Source organism: Homo sapiens, chromosome 4, assembly GCF_000001405.40.
Source record: "Homo sapiens chromosome 4, GRCh38.p14 Primary Assembly".
Classification (NCBI taxonomy): Eukaryota; Metazoa; Chordata; class Mammalia; order Primates; family Hominidae; genus Homo; species Homo sapiens.
In genome coordinates, this window is record NC_000004.12 from 164,952,693 (window position 1) to 164,977,739 (window position 25,047).

General features: G+C 41.1%; 1 protein-coding gene and 1 long non-coding RNA gene across 3 annotated transcripts, besides 2 other annotated features; one reads left to right on the forward strand and one right to left on the reverse strand.

Moving 5' to 3' along the window:
• Window positions 1–1,753: 1,753 nt before the first annotated feature.
• On the reverse strand, window positions 1,754–24,965 carry TRIM61 (tripartite motif containing 61). Of its 2 annotated transcripts, NM_001012414.3 has the most exons (5): window positions 24,839–24,965; window positions 23,996–24,133; window positions 16,786–17,647; window positions 2,284–2,404; window positions 1,754–2,076 (listed from the first exon to the last, which is right to left on the reverse strand). In NM_001012414.3, the coding sequence occupies exons 3-4, from the start codon at window positions 17,308–17,310 to the stop codon at window positions 2,300–2,302; spliced, it is 630 nt and encodes a 209-aa protein (NP_001012414.1). In that variant the 5' UTR covers window positions 17,311–17,647; window positions 23,996–24,133; window positions 24,839–24,965; the 3' UTR covers window positions 1,754–2,076; window positions 2,284–2,299. The 2 variants fall into 2 exon arrangements, with proteins under 2 accessions (NP_001012414.1, NP_001401833.1); NM_001414904.1 differs by lacking the exons at window positions 1,754–2,076; window positions 2,284–2,404 and having other exon boundaries at window positions 15,589–17,647.
• Window positions 4,006–4,055: an enhancer, noted in NCBI's record as "active region_22111". NCBI's record gives its function as "activates an Ori minimal core promoter by ATAC-STARR-seq in GM12878 lymphoblastoid cells {active_cell/tissue: GM12878}" and the evidence as "EXISTENCE:reporter gene assay evidence [ECO:0000049][PMID:35858748]".
• Window positions 4,256–6,439, forward strand: FAM218A (family with sequence similarity 218 member A). Its single transcript, NR_160935.1, has one exon. It is a non-coding gene; the product is annotated as a family with sequence similarity 218 member A (long non-coding RNA).
• Window positions 4,356–4,515: an enhancer, noted in NCBI's record as "active region_22112". NCBI's record gives its function as "activates an Ori minimal core promoter by ATAC-STARR-seq in GM12878 lymphoblastoid cells {active_cell/tissue: GM12878}" and the evidence as "EXISTENCE:reporter gene assay evidence [ECO:0000049][PMID:35858748]".

The following is a 25,047-nucleotide window of genomic DNA, read 5'->3' on the forward strand; positions in this document are numbered from 1 at the left end:
CCTTGATAACTTTTAATCGTCACTCCTCCATTTTTTTCTTTGGCCGCACATTTGGGCAACCTGCCAAGAAAGCCCAGGTGCTCCCTCCTTCAGGGCAGGAAAGAGATTCAAACCAGGCAACTTTCATTGTGAATGAGTGATCCCTCACCCTGCCCACACCTTAACCTGAAGAAAAACACCAAGCCCGTCTTCTTTCTCTGCTCTCACAGTCCATTTACAGACCACCTACAGGCCTGTGCTGCTCTCCTTCAACACCCCAGCATGTGAGAAACAAACCTGTTCCTATCCTTCTAGTGTGTGTGTGGGTGTGTGGCATAATCAGTCTTTATATCTGGACTAAATTTGATGGGTGTTCAATTTTTCCCATGTGGGGTTGACACAACAATAATTAGGATGCTGTATGATCTCAGTTTAATTATTGGGATATTATGGAAAAGTCCCAACATGCAGAAAGAGAGACATAATTGTACAATAGATCACCCCAACCCCCATAGATCCATTACACAATTTCAATAATTATTATGGTCAATTTTATTTTATCAAGATCATGCTCTACCTTCCCCAAATCATTTTAATGCAGTATTCATACATCATATCATTTTATCTATATCTTAAAATAAATCACTAAAAGAACGATTTTAAAAGTGTAAGTGCAGTATAGGTATCACATTTAATATTTAAATATAGTTTCATTCCCTCTCTGGGTGGTCCACCCTCCCCGCACCTCAAGGTGTTCACAAATCTCAAAGCTCCTCATATTACTTTCTTCAAGAATTTGTATAAAGTTTATTTTCCAGGTCCCCCCACCATCCTACTGAAAGTTCTAATCACTTGGTCTTCTGTGAGTAGCCCTATCCTGAGGCTACCCTGGGGCCCCAACCCAACCCACCTCATTAGCATAAATCCAGTTGATCCAAAGGGGCTCATTATGAATAACAAAAGACTGGCTGGGAGCCATGGCTGTAATGCCAGCACTTTGGGAGGTCAAGAAAGGAGGATAAGGCCAGGAGTTCCAAACTAGCCTGGCCTACATAGTGAGACACCGTTTCTTCAAAAAGAATAATTTTTAAAAATTAGCTGGGCATGGTGATGTGTGCCTGCAGTCCTAGCTATTTGGAAGGTTGAGGCTGGAGGATTGCTTGAGCCCAGGAGTTCCAGGTTACAGTGAACCATGACTGCATCACTGCACAACAGGGTGACAGAGCAACATCCTGTGTCCAAAAAAAAGTGAAACAAAAAAACCCAGCACTTGCCCTTATGCTCCACTCAGTGCATGATGTGTTACTTCCGCAGCTCCCACCCCATCACAACCATTCTGCAGGTCCCTACCCCTGTCCCCTTCACCAACCCAGGACCCTGCAGGAGCAATCAGAGAACAAGAGAGAACTGCCCTCTGGGACCTGTCACTTCCCCCATGCTGACTGCATAAGGAAAAAAAAACTCCCTACAGGGTTTAAGACTGAATTCGTTCTGAGGTCACCATTTTGGTGAACAAGAAGTAGGGACTGTGTTGCGTCTTCTGACCTGGATCGACGAAGAAACAGCTCTGCAAGGATGGAAAAAGCTGACAATCCCCAGTGAACTGCTGACAAGTGAATACAGGTAGGCTCCGCACCCTACACTAACCCTCTACTGGGAGCAGAATATCTGAGTGAGGATTGCACCAGGAGGCACAGGTGAGCTACACTCAGTAAAGGGCGTGCAGCCTTTGGCTGGACCTAAGCTGGGGAAAGTAGCCACATAGGAAGGAACCTTGGGGAGTTTGTGCATTTTATTTTTTAACCATCAGTTTTGTATTATTAGAAAGATAAACATTCCAATATACATCTAAAATTATATATATTGATTATAATTCAATATGTTCTTGTATTAATTAGCATATTTATATGTACATATTATACAGAAATACATATAATTACATACCTTACAAATGTAATTAAAATTTTATTATGGTATAGGAACATATACATACCCTACACATGGTTGGCAGCATGGCTATAATCCCAGCACTTTGGGAGGTCAAGGCAGGAAGATCGCTTGAGGTCAGGAGTTCCAGACCAGCCTGGGCAACCATCTCTACAAAAAATAAAATATAAATATGCTGTTTTATATTTACTTAAAATTTTATTGGCCCAGCACAGTGGCTCATGCCTGTAATCCCAGCACTTTGGGAGGCCAAGGCAGGCAGATCACAAGGTCAAGAGATCGAGACCATCTGGCCAACATGATGAAACCCTGTCTCTACTAGAAATACAGAAGTTAGCTGGGCATGGTGGAGGGCACCTGTAGTCCCAGCTACTCAGGAGCCAGAGGCAGAAGAATCGCTTGATCCCGGGAGGCGGAGGTTGAAGTGAGCCGAGATCGTGCAACTGCACTCCAGCCTGGTGACAGAAGGAGACTCCATCTCAAAAAAAAAAAAAAAAAAAATTATTATGGTATTATAGTAGTATACACATGTCCTACACATAACCTATTTGGTTCACTCTTTACTCTGACATCGTATATGAGACAGTTCTTTTGTATGTTGTATGACAATCACAGATTTGGACTTCTCATAAGGGGCCTCATGCTGGTTTGCCCTAATTACATCTAATTATGTCTGAACTGTTCTGCATAATCAGCATATCTACCATTAAACAGTCAACAGAAGAATCAGAAACACAAACCATTCTTGGAATATATTGAGTTCTGTGCCACACCAAATCCTATGTTTTAAAAAATTTTTTCCAGGCTGAGCTCAATGGCTCAAGACTGCAACCCGAGTAGTGTGGGAGGCCCAGGCAGGAAGATTGCTTGAGGTCAAGAGTTTGAGGCTACAGTGAGCTACGAACTTGCCACTGCAGTCCAGCCTGGGTGACTAAGAGAGATTCAGTCTCAAAAAAAAAAAAAAAAAAAAAACAAGTTTTCCAGAAGATATGTCTTTATTGGTGTTTATATTTACAGAAAACTTAAAGGGAAATTGAGGTTGATTTTCCTTGTCTTCATGTGACCACAAAAGGATGAAGAGAGGATATCAGGGACCAGCCCCAGATGACTCAGGTAATCTGAGACCAGGCCTGGGATCCACACACAAGACACACACACCCAGATGGAAGCACAATGCCTAGTCTCGCTCTTTCCTCAATCCCGATTTAAACTAATTTGGCAGTTTTATGAGATTAAAGAGGGTGTAGACAGGAAATTGGTAGAGGATGGAAAATCGATTAAGATTAGGGACAACTGTGAGGAGGAAGACAAAGGAGACAGAATCTGAGAGCCCTGAGGCGGACTGAAAACGGGGAGGCGGCTCAAAGAAAAGAGTAAGAGAAATGAGCTTTTCTGGAACGAGGCATTGATAACGCTGAAACATGATTAGCCTTTTGAAATAAATCTTTCGTTTATTTATTTTTTTGAGACAAGCTCTCGTTCTGTCGTCCAGACTGAGGTGCAGTGGCGCCATCCTGGCTCACTGCAACCTCAACTCCCCAGGTTCAAGCGATTCTCCCACCTCAGCCTCCGGAGTAGCTGGGACCACAGGGGCGGGCCAACATGTCCGGCTAATTTTTGTATTTTTTGTACAGACAGGGTTTCACCATGTTGGCCTGGCTGGTCTCAAACTCCAGAGCTCATGTGATCCGCCCACCTCAGCCTACCAAAGTGCTGGGATTACAGGCATGAGCTTCCATGCCGGGTATAAAAGGAAGCTTTTAAATTGTGGAGTATTTCATACATCCATAATAGTAGAGAGAACATTATGAAGAACGTACACATAAAAAGAAACCAATTTCTATCATTTGAATTAACAATCTTTATAACCCCAGCAACTTCTCCTGCCAATGGAGTAAATTCCCAGACATCTTATAATTTCATCTGTATATTTCATCTTATAATTTCATTATTTATTCCCTAAAAGACAATATCTCAATTATCATAGTGTTACTGTAACTTTTAATAAGCTGTTCAGTGGGAATTATAACCATATTTTTCTCCAACCAGTTATAAATAAGATTCAATAAATTAAAACAGCAACTGGAATTCTCTTCTGTTAAGGCGGGGCAGGGAGAGCCCTCAGTCTGGCACAGGTAGGGTTGGGTGGCAGAAGAGCAAAGCAAACAGCTGAGGTTCCTTCAGAATGCAACTTTCTCACAGAACACAAGGCTCTCAAGGGGCTTCAGCACCCCAAGCACTGCAGCGTTTCTCCCAGGAGGCTGGGCGAGTCCGTAGCGGAAGTCGGAGCGGCAGAGCAGTGATTGGGTGCGGCCGGCACCGTCTCTGGGCTTCGACTTCCGGGTGAGACCGTGAAGGTGTGGCGCGACGTTGGAGACCGGGGCAGCGCCATGTACCACAGTGGATGGAAGGATGCGCGGTGCGGCGGGGCAGCTGTCCTCTTCTCCCCGGACCCAGCGCCTGGAGAGCCAGCCCTGCAGGGTGGGCTGGGCGAGCCAAACTGCGTTCCTGGTGCAGGGCTTCGGGTCTCCCTAACAGACCTTATACGCTGACCGGCGGCCGCCATGGCAGTGTCTCTTTGCTCAGACATCCAGGGACGACCACATTCGTCCAACAGCGGTCGCTCCACCAATCCTGGGAGAAGCGAATCGTTTTCTCCGCGTGCCCTGTCAGCCGCTCATGGTGCCCAGAGAGGAATTTTAGTGGCAGCATTCCGGCTGTCACGCCACCGAAATTGCCAGGCCACTCCAAGTCAGAAGGACCACCAGGAAAAGTCAGGAAGAGAACCACCATCAGGTCCCAGCCTCTTTTTGTGACAAGGACTAGAGGGTTTGGGTCTGCAGTGGGCTGGCTCCCGCTGGGCTCACCTGTCCTATAGAGCAGGCTGCCTCAAGGAAGAAGCTCACAGGGGACATCTGACATCTGAAACAGCAAGTGTAAAATGCTTTAAATAAGCCAAAACTAAACCAATCGTTATGTTAACTAAAAATACATGAATGCTACCGAAGATAGTCGAATATTAGAGGAAGAGATTAAACTCTGATTTTGAGCACTTTGTGCTTTATTCGGAAAATGAATAAGATGCAGTTCTGAAAACCTGAAAATATAAAGAATAGGATATGATACGCACACTAGATGAAAACAAAACTTTCAGACCATATTTTCTTATTTAAAGCTCTAATAAGTGAGATAGCAGAGTAAACTATTCACTCAAATAATTAGTAACTGATATAAGGGTATGTATCAATAACAGGTATTAAGACAAAAACTTTATGAGCTTTTCCATTTTAACAAGGGATGATGATTCTAGACTTCTGCCACAACATTATGGTCGACAAAACATTCTTAATTCATTTTACATAGATCTGACTCTAGATTCTGAAACAGCAAGTCATAATCTTGTATCTCTAAAGATAGAATACAGTGCGATTTGGAAAGACACCACAAAAACTCATGATCCAAAAAAGATTAAGGCTGTTATTACCAGGAGGAAGAGAAAGAGGACAAAATCAAACTGGATAGATATAATAGAGTTGTTTGTTAGAATTGTCTTCCCAGGAGATGGAAAAAGACGCCATCACAATAGGATTCATGCTTTAGTTTTCAGCTATAGAAATGTAATAACTTTGCCAAAGTAATTACACTACATAGAGTGGCAATCGTTCTATTAAAAGTAAGACCCAGTAATGTTAGGATTTGTTCTGGACAATGAAGGGGATGAGGTTTAATCTTATGACTTGAATGCCAGGTCTGAAATCTTTTCTTCAAGTGATATTTTTATGAAACTACTTAGGCTGTGTTTCACACTGGGTATGATTTCTAACCTCTTATAACCTGTACAGTAATAGATTATGAAGGATGAATTATTTGAAAGCTATTTTGTATTATTTAGGAGAGGAGCTCTTCAATTCTGAATTGTCTGCCACTTACAAGCAGAAGAAAGTTTTTTTCTTTCATTATTTTAGCAACTATCAATAAAACAGTATTAGAAATGCCTACTCTTCAGAGATGTAATGGGAATAAATTGTAAAGTACTTTTGATATTCTAAGATGAAAGATGGTATTACACAGTCAATAATTCAATGCTTCCCACATTATGAATTTTATCAAAATTATGTAGAGAGCTATTAGTTCATTCCAGCAACAAAACAGGCTTATATAAAAACAAAAACCTCCTGGGTCATGCCATCCTACACCAAATTCCTGTTAAACAGAGGCATGATTTATTCCAGTGACCTTGCTATTTCTTCATAACTGTAATATGTCTAATGTTAGACATTTTAAATTAACATTCTATTAGATAAACTGAGAATTTAGGTCTCTCGCACCACCCAGGCACATACTCTATCTTTCCCCACAAATATCCAAATATGGTAATATAATTGGATTAATACGTTCATATGACTATATAATTGTTCACAGCTGAGCCACTTAGGTGCTATAATTATAATTTCTTTGATACACAAATTTTGTTTTATTGTGATTAAAATTGCCTGATTTCTTACTTGCTGCATTTTCTGTTTATCTCTTTCAGCCCCATATCTGCTCATCTCTAAAGTTCCTTTCTAAACTCGACATGTAATTTGTTGATTATATTCATTTTCTTTATAGTGCTCAATCTCCTGAAGCCCTCTGTCATCTTAGCATGAACTGAAATTTGGTGATATGATGCACAGCTGTCCTCTGAGGCCTTTCATGTTTCCCTTACCCTAAGAATTATCTTTTATCTTCTGTCTTATGTCCAGAGGTTTTAAGTCTATTGTTGTCTGAGTCCCTTGTTTTCCTTCTTAGTTTTCTTCCCTTCTTTTGGTGAGCGTATCACCAGGTAGTTCCCTGAAAAAGGGGACTTGGAAGATGTGCCAGTCATTTTCCTTGTGCTGTGAGATGTGGGAATGTGTGCTAGGCCCAGCATTACATCTGGAGGAGGGTGAAGAACATTTGTGAAGGCCACACATGCCTGAGACCAAAGTTCAGAGTGCTTGCCCATGACTCATGCTCAATCAGAACATCAGAGAACACAGGCTTCCCCAACTCCCAAAACCACACTAAGAGGAGTTGAGTAAAAATAACAGTAGAATCCAGTTTGAGAAATTAAAGAGACATATCACTAGGGGAGTGTGAAGTCTTTAATGTATTAATGGTAACGATAGCAATAACAAACTTCAAACTCTGCCTAACTCCTGGCTCGATTAATACAAACACACCCTCACTACGGGCCTAGCAGAAGGGAAACAAGTTCATCTCTGCTATTGGTTGAATTGTGTTCTCCCGAAAAAGTATGTTGAAGGGCTAACTCCAGTACTTCAGATGTGACCTTATTTGGAAATTAGGTCTTTAGAAGGTAATTGGTCAAAATGAGGTCATTAGGGTGGGCCTTAATCCAGTATCACTGCAGTCCTTATAAAAAGATGAAATTTTGACACAAAGATATGCACAGAGGAAGATTATATGAGGAAACACGGGGGAATGCCATTGGAGTGATGCATCTACTAGCCAAGGAATGCCAAAGATTGGCAGCAACACAACAGAACCTGGAGGCATGGAAGAAATTCTATATCACAGCCCTCAGAACAAACCAATCCTGCCAACACTCATAATTTGGACCCAGCCTCCAGAACTGTGAGACAATAAATTTCCTGTTATGGGCTGGACACGATGGTTCATGCTTGTAATCCCATCACTTTTCGAGGCCGAGGCGGGTGGATCACGAGGTCAGGAGTTCAAGACCAGCCTTGCCAAGATGATGAAACTCCATCTCTATTAAAAATACAAAAAAAAGAAAAAAAAATAGGTAGGCATGGTGGCAGGCTCCTGTAATCCCAGCTACTTGGGAAGCTGAGGCAGGAGATTTGCTTGAACCCAAGGAGTGGAGGTTGCAGTGAGCCGAGATGGCACCACTGCACTCCAATCCGGGCGACAGAGTAAGACTCTGTCTCAAAAAAAAAAAAAGGAAAAAAAATTTCCTGTTATGTAAACTACCCAGTTTGTGATACCATATTAGGGTATTCCCTATAAAACTAATATAATCTACAAGTATAAAAATATTTACCAGCTGGGTGTGGTGGGTCATGCCCATAATCCCATCACTTTGGGAGGCTGAGGCAGGCAGATCACCTGAGGTCAGGAATTCAAGACCAGCCTAACCAACGTGGTGAAAACCCATCTCTACTGAATATACAAAAATTAGCTGGGCGTGGTGACACATGCCTATAATACCAGCTATTTGGGAGGCTGTGGCAGGAAAATCACTTGAAACCAGGAAGCGGAGGTCGTAGTGAGCCAAGATGGTGCCACTGCACTCAAACCTGGGTGGCAGAGTAAGACTCTATCTCAAAAAAAATGTATACATATATACATATATTTACCTCAGTATATATTTTCCTACACATGTCTGGTTTTTACAAAAGAAACAAAAAACAAAAATCAAAATATAAGGCACACAAAAAGACAATGTAAGAGGACAATAAACCACACTCTGAAGAGACAAAACATCAGAACCAGACTAAGCTATGACAGAAAATAAGAACTCTCAGGCAAAAAAAAAAAAAAAAAAAAAAAAAAAAAAAAAAAAAAAAGAAAGAAAAATAACAATAATTGATATGTTAAAGGCTTTGGCAGAAAATAAAGACAACATGCAGAGTCAGATAGATAATTTTATCAGAGAGTTGGAAACTATAAAATCAAATGGAAATGCTAGCAATGAAAACCACAGAAAAGAGATGAAGATGCCTTCAATGGGCTCATTAGTACCCTTAACACACTTAGGGAAATAATCAGTGAACTTGAATATAAACAAATTACCCAAACTGAAATATAAAGTGAAAAGAATAAAAAAGAGAGCCTTAGAACTGTGGGACAGTATCAAATGGTGTCATTTGTGGATACTTGGAATCTCAGAAGAAATCTCATCACTAGGAAATGATGGCAAAAATAAATAAAAATTAAAAAATAAAAAAAGAGCAGAAGAAATATTTGAAAAAAAAATGGCCAAGAATTTAGTTACAGACATGAAAACTCCAGAACCAAGAAGCCCACCAAGCATGATGAATATCAAAAAACACACACCAAAAAAACCCCAAAACAAGAAAAATGATAGCAAATCCCCAAATATAGGTATATCAATCAAATTCAAACTGCTGAAAATTAAAATCAAAAACAGTTTTGAAGGCAGTCCAAGTAAAAAAATACATGACTGCCATGCATACGTTAACTATAGGAATATGGTCTGAGAAGTACATCATAGGATGATTTCATCATTCTGTGAACATCATAGAGTATGCTTACATGAACCTAGATTGCAGTTGTGTAGCTTATTGTACCTGTAAGCTACATAGTACAGCTGAATGCTTCTAGGCTATAAACCTGTACAGCACGTTACTGTACTGAATACTATAGACAACTGTAATACAATGGCAAGCATAGAAAAAGTTCCGTAAAAATAGTTTTATTATCTTATAGGACCACTGTACTGTATGTGGTCAGTGGGTGAAACACTGTTTTGCAGTGCATGAAGGAGGATAAGAAGGAGGATAAGGAAGGAGGATAAGAATTACAACAGACCTCTCATCAGAAAATGTGAAATCAAGGACACAATAGTTACTTCTTTTTTTTTTTTTTTTTTTGAGACAGTGTTGCTCTGTCACCCAGGCTGGAGTGCAGTGGTGCGATCTTGGCTCACTGCAAGCTCCGCCTCCCGGGTTCACGCCATTCTCCTGCCTCAGCCTCCCGAGTAGCTGGGACTACAGGCGCCTGCCACCATGCCTGGCTAATTTGTGTGTGTGTGTGTGTGTGTGTGTGTGTATTTTTATTAGAGACGGGGTTTCACCGTGTAAGCCAGGATGGTCTCGATCTCCTGACCTCGTGATCTGCCCACCTCGGCCTCCCAAAGTGCTGGGATTACAGGCGTGAGCCACTGCGCCCGGCCTGACAATAGTTACTTCTGTAAATAAAAAAATGCTGCCAACTCACAATTCTATAACCAATTAGCATATTTATCAAAATCAATGTCGAAATGCTTAGAAAAAATAAAATGGAGGGAATTCATTGCCATCAAGTGGACACTACAAGAAATGTTAAAAAAAAAAAAAAAGTACTTTGGGCCAAAGGAATATTATATATGTCAGAAACTTGTGTTTACACAAAGAAATAAAGTGCATAAAAATAAAATAAAGGTAATTGCTGTAAAAGATAACTAGCAGTTTAAAACAATAATATATAGTGTTTTTCCAGCATATGTAAAAGTAGTCCATATATGAATACAAGACCACAAAGGATCAGTGAGAATTGGGAATATACTATTACAAGGTTCTTATACTGAAAGGGAAACAGTATAATTTCATTTAAAGGAGGCCCCAAATTATTTAAAAATATATACTATAAACCCTAGGAGAACCATTAAAATGTTTTTAAAAGATGTATAAAATAAGTTAATAGAAAAAATTAAAATGTAATCATAAAACATGCTTAACTAAACCCAGAGAAGCCAGGCATGGTGGAGTGCACCTGTAGTCCCAGCTATTCAGGAGGCTGAGGCAGAGAGTAGGAGTTTGGGGCTGCCGTGGGCTGTGATTCTGCCTATGAATAGCTACTGAATGCCAGCCTGGGCAATATAGTCAGACCCTGTTTTAATCCTAGCAGTTTTGAAGTCCATGGTGGGTGGATCACTTGGGGCCAGGAGTTTGAGACCAACCTGGGTAACATTAGTGACATCTTGTCTCCAGTGAAAACAAAAAACAGAGAACGCAAAATAAGCATTCTTTTCAAGCTCCTATGGGACACTCACCAAGATAAACCATATCATGGGCTATGGAACATTCCTTCACACATTTAAAGAATAGAAATCACACAAATGACAGGGCACGGTGGCTCACGCCTGTAATCCCAGCACTGCCAAGGCACGCAGATCACCTGAGGTCAGGAGTTCGAGACCAGCCTGGCCAACATGGAGAAACCTCGTATCTACTAAAAATACAAAAATTAGCTAGGCGTGGTGGTGTGCACCTGTAATCCCAGCTATTTGGGAGGCTGAGATGGGAGAATCGCTTGAACCCAGTAGGCAGGGGTTGTAGTAAGCCGAGATTGTGCCATTGCACTCCAGCCTGGGCAACAAGAGTGAAACTCTGTTTCAAAAAAAAAAAAAAAAAGAAATCACACAAACTACATTATCAGACTATACAAAATTATAATAGATATTACAGAAAAATATCTGGGAAATCCACAAAAAATGTGAAAACTAGTACACTTCTAAATACCTCTTGGGTCAAAGAGTGAGTCTCAGGGAAATTAAATATTTTGAGCAAAATAAAAATAAAAATGCAATATTTCAATATTTGTGTAACATAGCTAAAGCAGTATTTAGAGTGAAATTTATAGAATTAAATTTATAATATATTAGAAAAAAATCTAAAATCAGTAACTTAACCCTTTACCTTAAGAAACTAGAGAAAAATGGCCGGGCGCGGTGGCTCATGCCTGTAATCTCAGCACTTTGGGAGGCCGAGGCGGGCTGATCACGAGGTCAGGAAATCGAGACCATCCTGGCTAACACAGTGAAACCCCATCTCTATTAAAAATACAAAAATTCGCCGGGCTTGGTGGTGGGCGCATGTAGTCCCAGCTACTTGGGAGGCTGAGGCAAGAGAATGGCATGAACCCGGGAGGCGAAGCTTGCAGTGAGCCGAGATCCTGCCACTGCACTCCAGCCTGGGTGACAGAGCGAGACTCTGTCTCAAAAAAAAAAAAAAGAAAAGAAACTAGAGAAAAAAAGGAGATGGAGAGCTTTTAAATGTAAAGCAAGAAGAATGACAAAAATAAAAATTGAAGCAGAACTCAATAAAATTGAAAATTGGAAACGAGAGAAAAATCAACAAAACCAAAGCTGATTCTTTGAAAAGATAAAAATGGAGGCAATAAATTGTTAACTGCCACGAACTGCCCAAGTTAGTATGGGATTTCAAATGCATGCTCTTTCCACTATCTCAGTGCCTTAGTTTGGGTGATGAATAAGGGATGGAACAATTAGGAAGAAGACTGATTATGTAGGGGAAAAGAATATTATAGTGATTTTTTGGGACATAAGGTTGGTGGTGGAATATTAAATAGTAGCCAGAAACTGGCAAGGGGAGTGCAGAGTAGGGATGCTGGAAATACATCAGTATATATTTTTCATTTACAAAACCCTTATCACTTACAGAAATGATTCTGTCTTTAAACTATGACTGTTTTCTTGTCCACAGAAGCCACTGAGTTTATAGATCCTCGAATATATCAGTTGATCCATGTATCTCTAATAACACTTATTTCACCAACGTCATCCTATTTTTGATGTCTACTAATTATTGTAATTTAACCAGATGTGTAATGTTCTCTGAATTGGTGTAAAATAACTGGCTGGGCGCAGTGGCTCACACCTGGAATCCCAGCACATTGGGAGGCTGAGGCGGGTGGATCACTTGAGATCAGAAGTTTGAGACCAGCCTGGCCAACATGGTGAAACCCCGTCTCTACTAAAAATACAAAAATTGACCGGGCACGGTGACGCGAGTCTGTAATTCCAGCTATTCCAGAGGCTAAGGCGTGAGAGTCGCTTGAATCCGGGAGAGGGAGGCTGCAGTGAGCTGAGATTGCACCACTGCACTCCAGCCTGGACAACAGAGTGAGCCTCCATCTCAAAAAAAGACAAAAACAAAAAACTTAAATTGAAGCTTTACAATAGCACCTGGAGCTTGAATTTATCCATTATAACGCCAGCTGACCTTGGGTGCGAGTTCATGACCAAATCTATGTAATGTATTGATTAAATCTCATGCTTATAGAATTCTGCCTATGCTTTTTTTTTTTTTTTTTTGAGATGATACCCAGGCTGGAGTGCAGTGGCGCGATCTCGGCTCACTGCACCTTCTGCCTCCTGGGTTCAAGTGATTCTCCTGCCTCAGCCTCCCGAGTAGCTGGGACTACAGGTGCATGCCACCAAGCCTGGCTAATTTTTTGAATTTTTAGTAGAGATGGGGTTTCACTGTGTTAGCCAGGATGGTCTCAAACTCCTGGCCTCATGATCTGCCTGCCTCAGCCTCCCAAAGTGTTGGGATTACAGGCATGAGACACTGTGCCCGGCCTTAATGTATTTCATTACACATTGTAAATATCATAACAATGTATTTCCCAATTTAAAAGGTTAAAAATACATAAGAGTGAATTGTTTTAAAACTATAATTCCAGGCCCTGATAAACTTCTGGTTAAATATCAGGATAGACTAAAGACATTTTCAGATACAAAGGTCTCAAAAACTTTATTTCCCATGAACCTTACTAGAAAGCTACTGAAGGATGTGCTCAAATTAAACAAGAAACCAAGTTCGAAATGGAAAAACATAAAGACAGGTAAAACAATGCAAGAGATGCCAAGAATATCCCCAAGATACCTGAGCCACTGGCTTAGTGAACAAATGTGCCTGTGTTGCAGATGAGAAGGCTCCTTGAGAGTATTCTGCAAGATGAAAATGGTATAAAGCCAGATGCCTTAAAATGAATTCAGAAAACTAGACAACTGCAGGGGACAGTTTGGGAATGAATTAAGGAAAGAACATGGAATACAAAGCATACTGAAGGTCAGTATTAACTACAGGAAACTGTTATAGAAAAAGCAAAAAGGCAATCACTTGACAATACATGGCTCAGAAATGAATGGTATTGAAATAATCAAAATAAATGTGAGAAAATATTCTAAAACAAAAATGAGAAATTCTATTAGAAGAGGGCCACAAGGTGAAGGCTGTTCCAAATTCTTGTCTCCCAAAGTGGGACATCATAATACTTCAAACTGAAAAATCCAGAGGTATTATTGGAATGTGATTTAGTGACTATAAAAGTAAATACCAAAAGAGCTGAGGAGTTCAAAGTGACTGCCTCTAAAAAGCTGGCAAAAGTGGTTATAAAGCAATAGTTGTAATTCAAATAAATCTTGTGAACAATAACTCAAACATTAAACCTAGATTTTTAAAAATTGTACTTTGGGGCTGGGTGCAGTGGTTCATGTCTGTAATTCCAGCACTTTGGGAGGCCGGAGTGGGTGGATCACCTGAGGTCAGGAGATCCAGACCAGCCTGGCCAACATGATGAAACCCCATCTCTACTAAAAATACAAAAATTAGCTGGGCATGGTGGCAGGCACCTGTAATCCCAGCTACTTTGGGTGGAGAGGGTGCGGTGCTGAGGCTCCAGAACTGCTTGGACCCAGGAGGCGGAGGTTGCAGTGAGACGAGATAATGCCATTGCACTACAGTGTGGGTGACAGAGCGAGACTCTATGTCAAAAATAAAAAAAAAATAAAAAGAGAAAAATGATCTGTATTACACAGGAAGAGATACAGATGTCTTTACCTGCCCATGACATGACTATCTCTACGGAAACTCCAATGGAATCTAAACAAGAGCTACTAAAAATGAGTTTAGCCAGCTATAGGCAATAAGATTAATATTCAAAAATTAGTTTTCTGTATACTAGTAATGAACAACTAGAATTGAAATAATCAACATAAAAAATTAAATACTTAAGGACAAATCTGACAAAACATGTTAAATAACACGTACACTAAAAACTACAAATTTCAGAGACAATTACATAAAAATTCATTGAATAGATTCACTGTTATGTCTACTGACATGTTGTCAATTTTCTCCGTATTAATCTAAAAAGATACAACATAATCCCATCAAAAGCTCGTCTTTTTTGTTGACACAAGTTTTCCAAATGTCACCCATCTGTGATCTATTGAAAGATGTTAATTCCTGAATTAACAGAATAAACCTAAGGAGGAAAAGATGGAACTAAGTTAAGATGGATTCTGAGACTAGAGATCAGTTCCCAAAGTGAAGTGAAGGACAGTAGCTGAACAGGACTAGAGGGTACTCTGTCCAGTGGGAACAGAACAGGTTATCTACCGGTTGTGTATGTACAGTATGTGTGTGTGTGGCAGAGGAGGATGTAAGAATGCCATCTCATTTTCTATAGGACTAAGGCAATACTAACAAAGGCACACACAATAAAAAATAAAGTAAGTTACTTAGAAATATGGAGGTAAACAGAGGAAAGGTGAAAGTGGCACTGGGCATGGTGGTTCATGCCTGTAACCCCAGTGCTTTGGGAGGCTAAGGCAGGAGAATTGCTTGAGGCCACAAGTTCAACACCACGCTGGGCAAAATAGAAAAATAAAAACTTTAGTTAAAAAAAAAAAAAGGCTGAAAGTAGCTACCTGGCTGGGCGTGGTGGCTCACACCTGTAATCCCAGCACTTTGGGAGGCCGAGGCAGGTGAATCACTGGAGGTCAGGAGTTCGACACCAGCCTGACCAACATGGTGAAACCCCGTCTCTATTAAAAATACAAAAATTAGCTGGGTGTGGTGGTACACACCTGTAATCCCAGCTACTTGGGAGGCTGAGGCTGAAGAATAGCTTGAACCTGGGAGACGGAGGTTGCAGTGAGCCGAGATCCTGGCCATTGCACTCCAGCCTGGGCAACGAAAAAAGGGGAGGGGAGGGGAGAAGAGGAAAAAGAAAAGAAAAGAAAAAGAAAAGAGGCTGTATTTACATAGCAGTAGTCCAAGAGTAATGATGAATGCCTTTAATAAAGACTTAATCTTTCTTAAAGGAAAAGTATATAAGAAATACAGAAAAAAATTACTGGGCTTTTATTGGCAATTACAAAAGTAATAGATTTTCTTACATAATACATTTCTTCAGTAATATATGTTTCAAGTATTTTACTGTAGAATTTCTAAAGTACCTTGTCACTGACCCCATAATTTAATATAAAGTAGGTCCCATAATCACATTTTTTGGAAGTTGCTGAAACTGAGATAAAAAAATATTGCTTTCTTATGGGAAAAACTGGACAAAATACAGAATAGCCAAAACTAGATTCACTGGCTCAGTTATGTCTACTAGGTGAAAGAAACTGAGTCTTCTAATAATTCATTCAGAATCTGTTACTGTAGAAATTTTAAGAGGTTTTGAGTCAGTTCCAGTATAAAAATAAGGCCAAAGTGCTCCTGTAAAATTATCATTAAAAGTATAGAGAAGAGATCTATCATTCAAATTATAAAAGGAAACTTCATTCATTTCATAGTCTAAAAAAATGCCAATCTTACTAGGAATTACTTGTGGCAGCAGAATAATTTCCCTGTGGCCCAATACAATATAATTATTCTGACTAGATCGCCAAATTCCCCATAATCCATCCTGTACTAAAATTGGTTGACTCTTCCTCCTTCTGGGAAGACAGTCATTACAGACACCAAGAATCCATTCAGGCTTGTCTTTCACTTCTACTTCCCAGTACTGCCTGCCACAACTATATCCCTTAGAACCCAGAACAGCTGGGAGGAGATAAAATCTTCTTGGGTTATGAGGTACATTTTGTGTTGTATTTCCATAGCGCACAGTTTTTCTATCTTCTGAGACTATAAGTTTACGATGTGCTGTTTCAGGATCTAGAATTACATCTACTTGAAATCGCTTGATAATTTTGTCTAGGCCAGAATATTGTGGAGGCAGATGGTAACCATATTTTTTTAATTTGAATAAAAACAGCTCAGGGAATTTTAAATTCTCATATCTGTGATAGATATCCTTAACATTTGCCAGTAATTCCAGTTCTGACTTCACATATATGCTCTCTATCTCCTTTAGTAGATATTTTAATGAGGAGGTATAATCTGAAAATTTTGTTAGGCTTTCATTTAGTTGTGCTAAAATATCCATCTCTTCATCTTGTAATTGCCTAAGAACAGTCTCTTGCTCATTTTGGAGAAATAACCTAAGTTGCTCAAATTCAGACTTGACTTCTTCTGCCCTATGTTTTACCTTTTTCTTCAGTTCCAGTGATTTCCTGGTTTGCATAGTTATGACTTTTTCAATTAGTTCCACTCTCTCCTTCCACGGTGCATTGTATTCCTCCAGTTTTTTCCTATGATAGGAGGCAGCCTTCTTTATGGGCCAAACACAGTGATGCTGGTGATCAGTGGACAAACTGCACCTTGGACATAAAAGCTCTAGGTCTTTCTGACAGAAGAAAGTCAAAACCTGATTATGCTTCTTACACACATGCTTCTCTTCCTGCCTCTTCCTCTTCTTGCTTCTTATCTGGAGTTGCTTAGCAATTTCAGTCAAACTACCCAGCTGGGGATTGCTTATAAATTTCCTTTCTGGACAGCAAAAGTGGCAAAAGGGGCAGGGGAAACTATCATGTAGATCCTTCCAGGACATAATGATGCAGGAGAGACAGAAGTTATGCCCACAGCTGATGGTCACTGGGTCTTTCAAGTAGTCCAGACAGATGGGACAGCTAGCCTCTGCTCGGAGGTCAGCCAGGGCCGTAACAAATTCCATTGAGACTTGAACAAAGATGGTAGGTAAGGTAATTCTTTTATTTTAGCAAGGCCTAGCTCTCTAGAGCTCAAGACCCAGTACACAGTGGATATACTCCCCAGACCTTGAAATCTGATCAACTATCAGTTTTACTGACTTGGCATGTTGATGGCAGCTTCTAGAAACTTGTTAAGCCCTCAGCTCCTTAGCTTCAGAGTCTACTGCCACGAACACTTCACAGCCTGCAGCCTATTGCATATTAGAACTTAATAGCTGGGCTGCTGCTCTTCCCACTAAATGAAATAAAGTCAAGTTTTCTTCAAGAAAGCAGCCTCAGGTCCAAGATAGGGAATCCTTCCTATGAGTAAGAAAAGACACCACGTTAAAATTCCATAATCACAAATGTATTAAACGTTCACACAAGAATCATCAATGAATGCTAAAATCATGGGGTGGAAGTTCTTGGAAAAACAAGATTCTCATATTGCAGAGATTCACGCCATACATTACTTATTAAAAAAAAAAAAACTAAAAAATATGGGACAAACTTATGTGCTTCCTGATAGGATGCTATGGCAAGTATACAACATTGCCTATATAATATTCTTTCCAAAAATATTGCCATTAGAGAAAATTAATTCAGATTGTGGAGCATTCTTACAAGACAACTGGTATGCATTCTTCAAAAATGTCAATGTCAGGAAAAACAAGCATTAAAAAAAAAGGTTTCTACATTTAAGGAGAGGAAACAAACATGATAAATACAACGTGTGACCCCTGATTGAATCTGAGATCTTGAAATCAAAACAAAACAAAACAAAAAAATGCTGGGAACAGGCTGGGTGTGGTGGCTCACACCTATAATCCCAGCATTTTGGGGGGCCAAGGCGCTCAGCTCCCTTGAGGCCGGGAGTTCAAGACCAGCCTGGCCAATATGGTGATACCCTATCTCTACTAAAGATACAAAAAATTAGCTGGGCATGGTGGCATGTGCCTGTAATCCCAGCTGCTTGGGAGGCTGAGGCAGGAGAACCACTGGAACCCGGGAGGCAGATGTGGCAGTGAGCTGAGATTGCAGCACGGCACTCCAGCCCCAGCGACAGAGTGAAACTCTATCTCCCCCCTCAAAAAAAATGGGGAACAAATAAATATGAGATTCTTAGTATGGACTGTGTATCACATAATGTTGTACCAGTTAAATTGAGCACAATAAAATTATCACAGTAAGAAGTAAAATGCCCTTGTTGTTAGGAGATATATCTATATACTGATGCACAGCGGGAAGCCATCTGAAACTTTCAGAAGGTTCAACAATTAAAAAAATGTGTAGCCGAGTGCGGTGGCTCACGCCTGTAATCCCAGCACTTTGGGAGGCCAAGGTGGGCAGATCACCTGAGGTCAGGTGTTCTAGACCAGCCTGAATAACATGGAGAAACCCCGTCTCTACTAAAAACACAGAATTAGCTGGGTGTGGTGGCACATGCCTATAATCCCAGCTACTCAGGAGGCTGAGGCAGGAGAATTGCTTGAACCCGAGAGGAGGAGGTTGTGGTGAGTGGAGATCGTACCATCGCACTCCAGCCTGGGTGACAGAGGGAAACTCTGTCTCAAAAAAAAAAAAAAAAGTGTAAATAGAGAAAACATGAATGTAGCAAAAGTTAACAACAGGGGTGAATCCAGGGAAAAAGTATAAGGATGCATACCCTTTCAATCTTTCTGTAAGTTTGACACTTTCAAAACAAAAGTGAGGCAGAAAAACTTCCTGGCTTGCTTTCAAGACACCCACAGGTACCCGATTTTAAGCAAGTCAAATTCCTCCATCAAAGCTTGAAAGCCACCTAACCATCAATACAGTATTTTTTCCCCTTCACCTCCTTTCCCTAGACACTTTCTTAACTCTTCTTCTTCCTCTCACTTTCCTCATAACCCAACGACAGTGACAGTAATAGTATGTGCATGGTTTTGACATGTGAAACTGGCTCTGTCTTGGTGACCTAGCAAGTTCTTTTACTATACATTCTCTTTAGACTAGCAGAATAGGAAAATATGCAGTAGCCCTAGAAAGTCACCATTTATCCATTATTCCCAAACTTAAAGTTTTAATTCAGTGTCCTAGGACTGCACAAGCAAAAGCTATCACAGCAACATGCTACAGGAGGCAGTATTTCACAATGTAAGCACTAACATTATTGAGAGGACACCAGGTTTGAATCCTGGCTCAGCTATTGACTGTGTATCTTTAGAAAATCGATGTGTCTTTTTTTGAATCGCATTTCTTTGACCTGTAAAATGGGAAGTATAACAACCTCTTTTTCTTATAAGAATATCATGTAAGTTGTAGCTAATTCTTCTCGACCAAAGGAGCTTTCTGTTAGATGTATTAGAATCTGGATCCAAACAAGAGCCATGTATTGCATTTGCTTATTAGTTCTTTTAAATCTTTTTCAATCTAGAATAATGTTCCCTGCCTCCACCTTTGTCCTAGACTACCCCAAATTCAAGATTTGCCTATTGCTTTGTGTGTGTGTGTGGAGCCTTGTTCTGTGGCCCAGGCTTGAGTGCAGTGGCACAATCTTGGCTCACTGCAGCCTCCACCTCCCGGGTTCAAGTGATTCTCCTGCCTCAGCCTCTTGAGTAGCTGGGCCTACAGGCGTGCGCCACCACACCCGGCTAAGGTTTGTAACTTTAGTGGAGACAGGGTTTCGCCATGTTGTCCAGGCTGGTCTTGAACTCTGGACTCCAAGTGATCGGCCCACCTTGGCCTCCCAAAGTGCTGGGATTACAGGCATTAGCCACCGCACCTGACATGTCTATTGCTTCTTGATATCATTTAACTTGTCCCTCAGGCCTTCACTTTTTAAACAAATTAAATGTTGTTTCCCCTCATAACAATCTGTTTATAACTCCCCACAAGTCAGGACAAAGTTTTTCACCCTTAGCTCGCCATTCAGAACCCTTCGTATTTCATTATCTTCATCTGGCTACAGTCTCCTAAAGTACTTAACGAAAACAAACAAACAAACACAGGTATCATGCTTTCCCTCTTCTGCACAAACCACTTTCTGCTTAGATTACCCTACCCTCACTTCTTCCCTAGGACTAAGTTTTGGTCCTTCTAGAGACTCAGCCCAAGACACATGTTCTCAAGGATAATTTATTATATGTCAGGCACTATGCTAAGGATCTTCCATATAGTCACAGGTTCAATTAAACCATCAGAACAACTCCGTAAGTTAGGAGCTATTATCCTCAATTAGAGCTATAAAAGCCTAGAGCTGTAAAAGCGGAGTCTACAAGAATTTGAACATGCTTATCCAACATTACGCTAATTGGCATAACCACTGGCATGATAATCACTAAGTTGTACTGCTCCTTCTTTACACTCGCACGGCATCCTATGCAGCCCTCTATATATCAAATCAACTTAGATTTTTCATATTTGATATGTTCAGTTGTTCATATTTAATAATGTATCCCAAATATTTTAAAAGGGAAAAATGGGCTTACTGATCCAACACTACAATGGAGAAAAGAGATAAAATACAAACTGAGAGCTAACAATACCTAACAGAATTGGGTTTTCATCCAACTCTAACACTTAGCTAGCTACATGTACTTGGTCAAGTTAATTTCTCTGAGTTTCACTTTTCAGAAAGTAGGAAATAATACTGTCTCAGGTTTTAAGCATAAATGAATAAATTATCTAAGACACCTGTCACAGTCCTTGGCATTTAACCCATGTACAATAAAAAATATTGTAGGACTATCTCAGAAAATCTCTCAAGAGGTCATACAAATTTAGCTGAATCCACATACTTCTATTATAGCATATTATAGTTGATGTATTATATGTAATACATACATATATAGAGATAACCTATATTTACTTACATATAAAACACATTGGGCCAGGCGTGGTGGCTCACACCTGTAATCCCAGCACTTTGGGAGGCCAAGGCAGTGGATCACTTGAGGTCAGCAGTTCGAGAACCAGCCTGGCCAACATGGTAAAACCTTGTCTCTCCTGAAAATACAAAAATTAGCTGGCAGTGGTGGCGCATGCCAGTAATTCCAGCTACTTGGAAGGCTGCAGCGGGAGAATTGCTTGAACCCTGGAGGCAGAGGTTGCAGTGAGTAGAGATCGTGCCACTGCACTCCAGCCTGAGCAACAGAGCAAGGCTCTGTCTCAAAAAAGCAGCACATTGACATTTCACCTAAAAGCTGTTATGGCTTATAAGGTTGCTAGTCCTGAAATGATTAGTAAAGGCAGTAACTTCCAAGGGCTCACTGTAGTAGTGGTGTGCTTCAGAGAATTTTCCTATACTAATTTTGGAGTAAGACAGAAGTTTTAGAATTTTAAAATACATCCTTTATTTTAAATAGCCCTCCATATTGGCAAGTTCAGCATCCACTAACACAATTAACTTCAGATAGAATCGAAAATACAGTATTCCTGGGATGCAGAACCTGCATCCACTGGTCTTGAGCATTCATGGATTTTGGTATCTTCGGGTGCCCTGGAACCAATGCCCTGTGTATATTGTATATCCAGGGATGAGAGTACATTTAACTTGTGAAAAATTCTAACACAACACTACAGAAAACATAGAATAATGGCCGGGAGTCGTGGCTTCAGGGCTGTAATCCCAGAACTTTGGGAGGCCAAGCTGGGTGGATCGCTTGAGCCCAAGAGTTCAAGACCAGCCTGAGCAACATGGCAAAATCCCATCTCTACAAAAGGAAAAGAAAGAAAAGAAATAAAAAGAATACTGTCTCTTACAAACCACTCTTCCCACCTGCCCACACTAAGCGTGGCTATGGTGACTCCCAATACTTGCTTAATACTTTCAAATGGGTACTGTTGAGCAGAACAAGAAAGTTAGAAAGTGCATGGGAATGGGAGTGAGGTTGCATAGGGTGCTCAGAGATTGGAAAAATTGAGCCTGAAAAAGTTTTAAGAATCTTGCCCAGCCACGCACGGTGGCTCACACTTGTAATCCCAGCACTTTGGGAGGCCAAGGCAGGCAGATTACCTTAGGTCAAGTGTTCGAGACCAGCCTGGACAACATGGTGAAACCCTGTCTCTACTAAAAATGCAAAAATTAGCCGGGCATGGTGGCGCGCCTGTAGTCCCAGCTACTTGGGAAGCTAAGGCAGGAGAATGGCTCAAACCAGGGGGCAGAGGTTGCAGTGAGCTGAGATGGCGCCATTGCACTCCAGCCTGGGTGAAAAGAGGAAAACTCCATCTTAAAAAAAAAAAAAAGAATCTTGCCCAATGTCACATAGTTAGTAAACTGCAGAGCATCATTGCAAAAAATGGTAAAATCAGAAGAAAAAATGTACTTTTAAGAAAACATATACAAAAAAGGACTCTAGCACAGTGCAAAGTGCAGGGAAAAGAAAGAGATCAGACTGTCACTGTGTGTCTATGCAGAAAGGGAAGACGTAAGAGACTCTATTTTGAAAAAGACCTGTACTTTAAACAATTGCTTTGCTGAGATGTTGTTAATTTGTAGCTTTGCCCCAGCCACTTTGACTCAACCTGGAGCTCACAAAAACATGTGTTGTATAAAATCAAGGTTTAAGGGATCTAGGGCTGTGCAGGACGTGCCTTGTTAACAAAATGTTTACAAGCAGTATGCTTGGTAAAAGTCATCGCCATTCTCTAGTCTCAATAAACCAGGGGCACAATGCACTGCGGAAAGCCACAGGGACCTCTGCCCTTGAAAGCGGGGTATTGTCCAAGGTTTCTCCCCATGTGATAGTCTGAAATATGGCCTCGTGGGATGAGAAAGACCTGACTGTCCCCAGCCTGACACCCGTAAAGGGTCTGTGCTGAGGTGAATTAGTAAAAGAGGAAAGCCTCTTGCAGTTGAGATGGAGGAAGGCCACGGTCTGCTGCCTGCCCCTGGGAACTGAATGTCTTGGTATAAAACCTGATTGTACCTTTGTTCAATTCTGAAATAGGAGAAAAACCGCCCTATGGTGGGAGGCGAGACATGTTTGCAGTAATGCTGACTTGTTATTCTTTACTCCGCTGAGATGTTTGGGTGGAGAGAAACATAAATCTGGCTTACGTGCACGTCCAGTCATAGTACTTTCCCTTGAACTTAATTATGACATAGATTCTATTGCTCACATGTTTGTTGCTGACCTTCTCCTTATTATAACCCTGCTCTCCTACTACATTCCTTTTTGCTGAAATAATGAAAATAATAATCAATAAAAACTGAGGGAACTCAGAGGCCGGTGCCGGTGCAGGTCCTTGGTATGCTGAGCGCCGGTCCCCTGGGCCCACTGTTGTTTCTCTATACTTTGTCTCTGTCTTATTTCTTTTCTCAGTCTCTCGTCCCACCCGACTAGAAATACCCACAGGTGTGGAGGGGCAGGCCACCCCTTCATAAAGGACACAAGAGGACTCACTCCAGGTATCATTGTGCCCTCCTTTCCCCAAGCATACACCCAAAGCAGTCTTCTCTACTATTTAAAATCAGGACATTAAGTGAACAGAACAGCTCTGTAGGCACAGTCACCACCCTAGTTTAAACCACTTATGTCTCTCTCCTAGATACACAATGGTGCCTCCAATTTCTGAAGTCTGTAGCTAAACTGACCTTTTCAAATACAAACAGAATCCTTTCATATTTCAACTGAAAACATTCCACTGGTCCTTTATTACTTTATGGAAGCAATTCTCAAATCTTACCTTGCATTATAATCACCTGGAGGTCTTGGTAAAAGATTGCCTGGGCCACATCCCCAGTTTCTGACTCAGTAGGGCTGGTTTTTTCCTAAGTTCCCAGATGATGCTGCTGGCCTGCGGACTGTACTTTGTGAACCTATGCTTTAAGGAAAACAAAGCAAAAAGATCCATTAAGATCTAGTCCAAGTTTTTTGCCTAGCTCCCATCATGTCACATATCACAGTTATGTGATTTTACAGCTACTCTGCAATTCTTTACCTAACTGTAAAAACCCCTCACCAGGCAGCAAGCTTCTTGGTGGCAATACGTCTCTAGCTTGTTTGAGGAATAAATAAAACCTGTGGTAGATTCCAAGCTCTCAGTTTCAACCATCATCATACTGGCTGATTCTTAACATGCCTGCACCTAAAGCGCCTCATCTACAAAGTTGAAATGATAATTCGTACCTGTAAGACCCTTGTGAGGATTACAGGATGCTTACATAGGTCGAGGGTGCAGACGACGTAGGCTGGTGGGTTCTCAACTGGCAGCTACCACTTCGCTCCCTTAACTCCCCAACCCCCACTCCCAAACACGTACATTAACTCTTTGAAGATAACATAGCCACTTCATAAACCCTAATTCAGATCATAACATTTAAAGCTTAATTGATACAGGCTCAACACCCCCATTCTAACTCTACAATCCTGAATTTTTCACAAGAGCTACGCCAGACACTAAGGAGATCCAGTCGTGGGCAGGCAGCGACCCGGAGGTTTAGGCACAGAGAATGTTCAAGAAGCCCCTGTCCAGTTAAGCCTCCTGGCGAGGCCCTTCTGGGCCTTTCCTGCGGCCTTCCCAGCTCACCTGGAGCAGACGGATCAGCAAATCCGGCCAAAGAATACTCAGGACCCACCGAGCCCCCGCGAGGAAGGACTCATACCCCAACCCCACCAAGTGGGCTGCTTCCTGCCTGGGGCTCAGCCTGCGCGGTGGTTGGCAGTTGCCCCGGAAGTGGGCGGGAAGGACCTGCGCATGCTCTGTGACCCTGGGTGCAGGGATTGTGTGAAGATTGA

Excerpts from the sequence above, each read along its gene's own strand:
- TRIM61 (NM_001414904.1), bottom strand. The coding sequence starts at position 17,310 with ATGGAATTTGTTACGGCCCTGGCTGACCTCCGAGCAGAGGCTAGCTGT.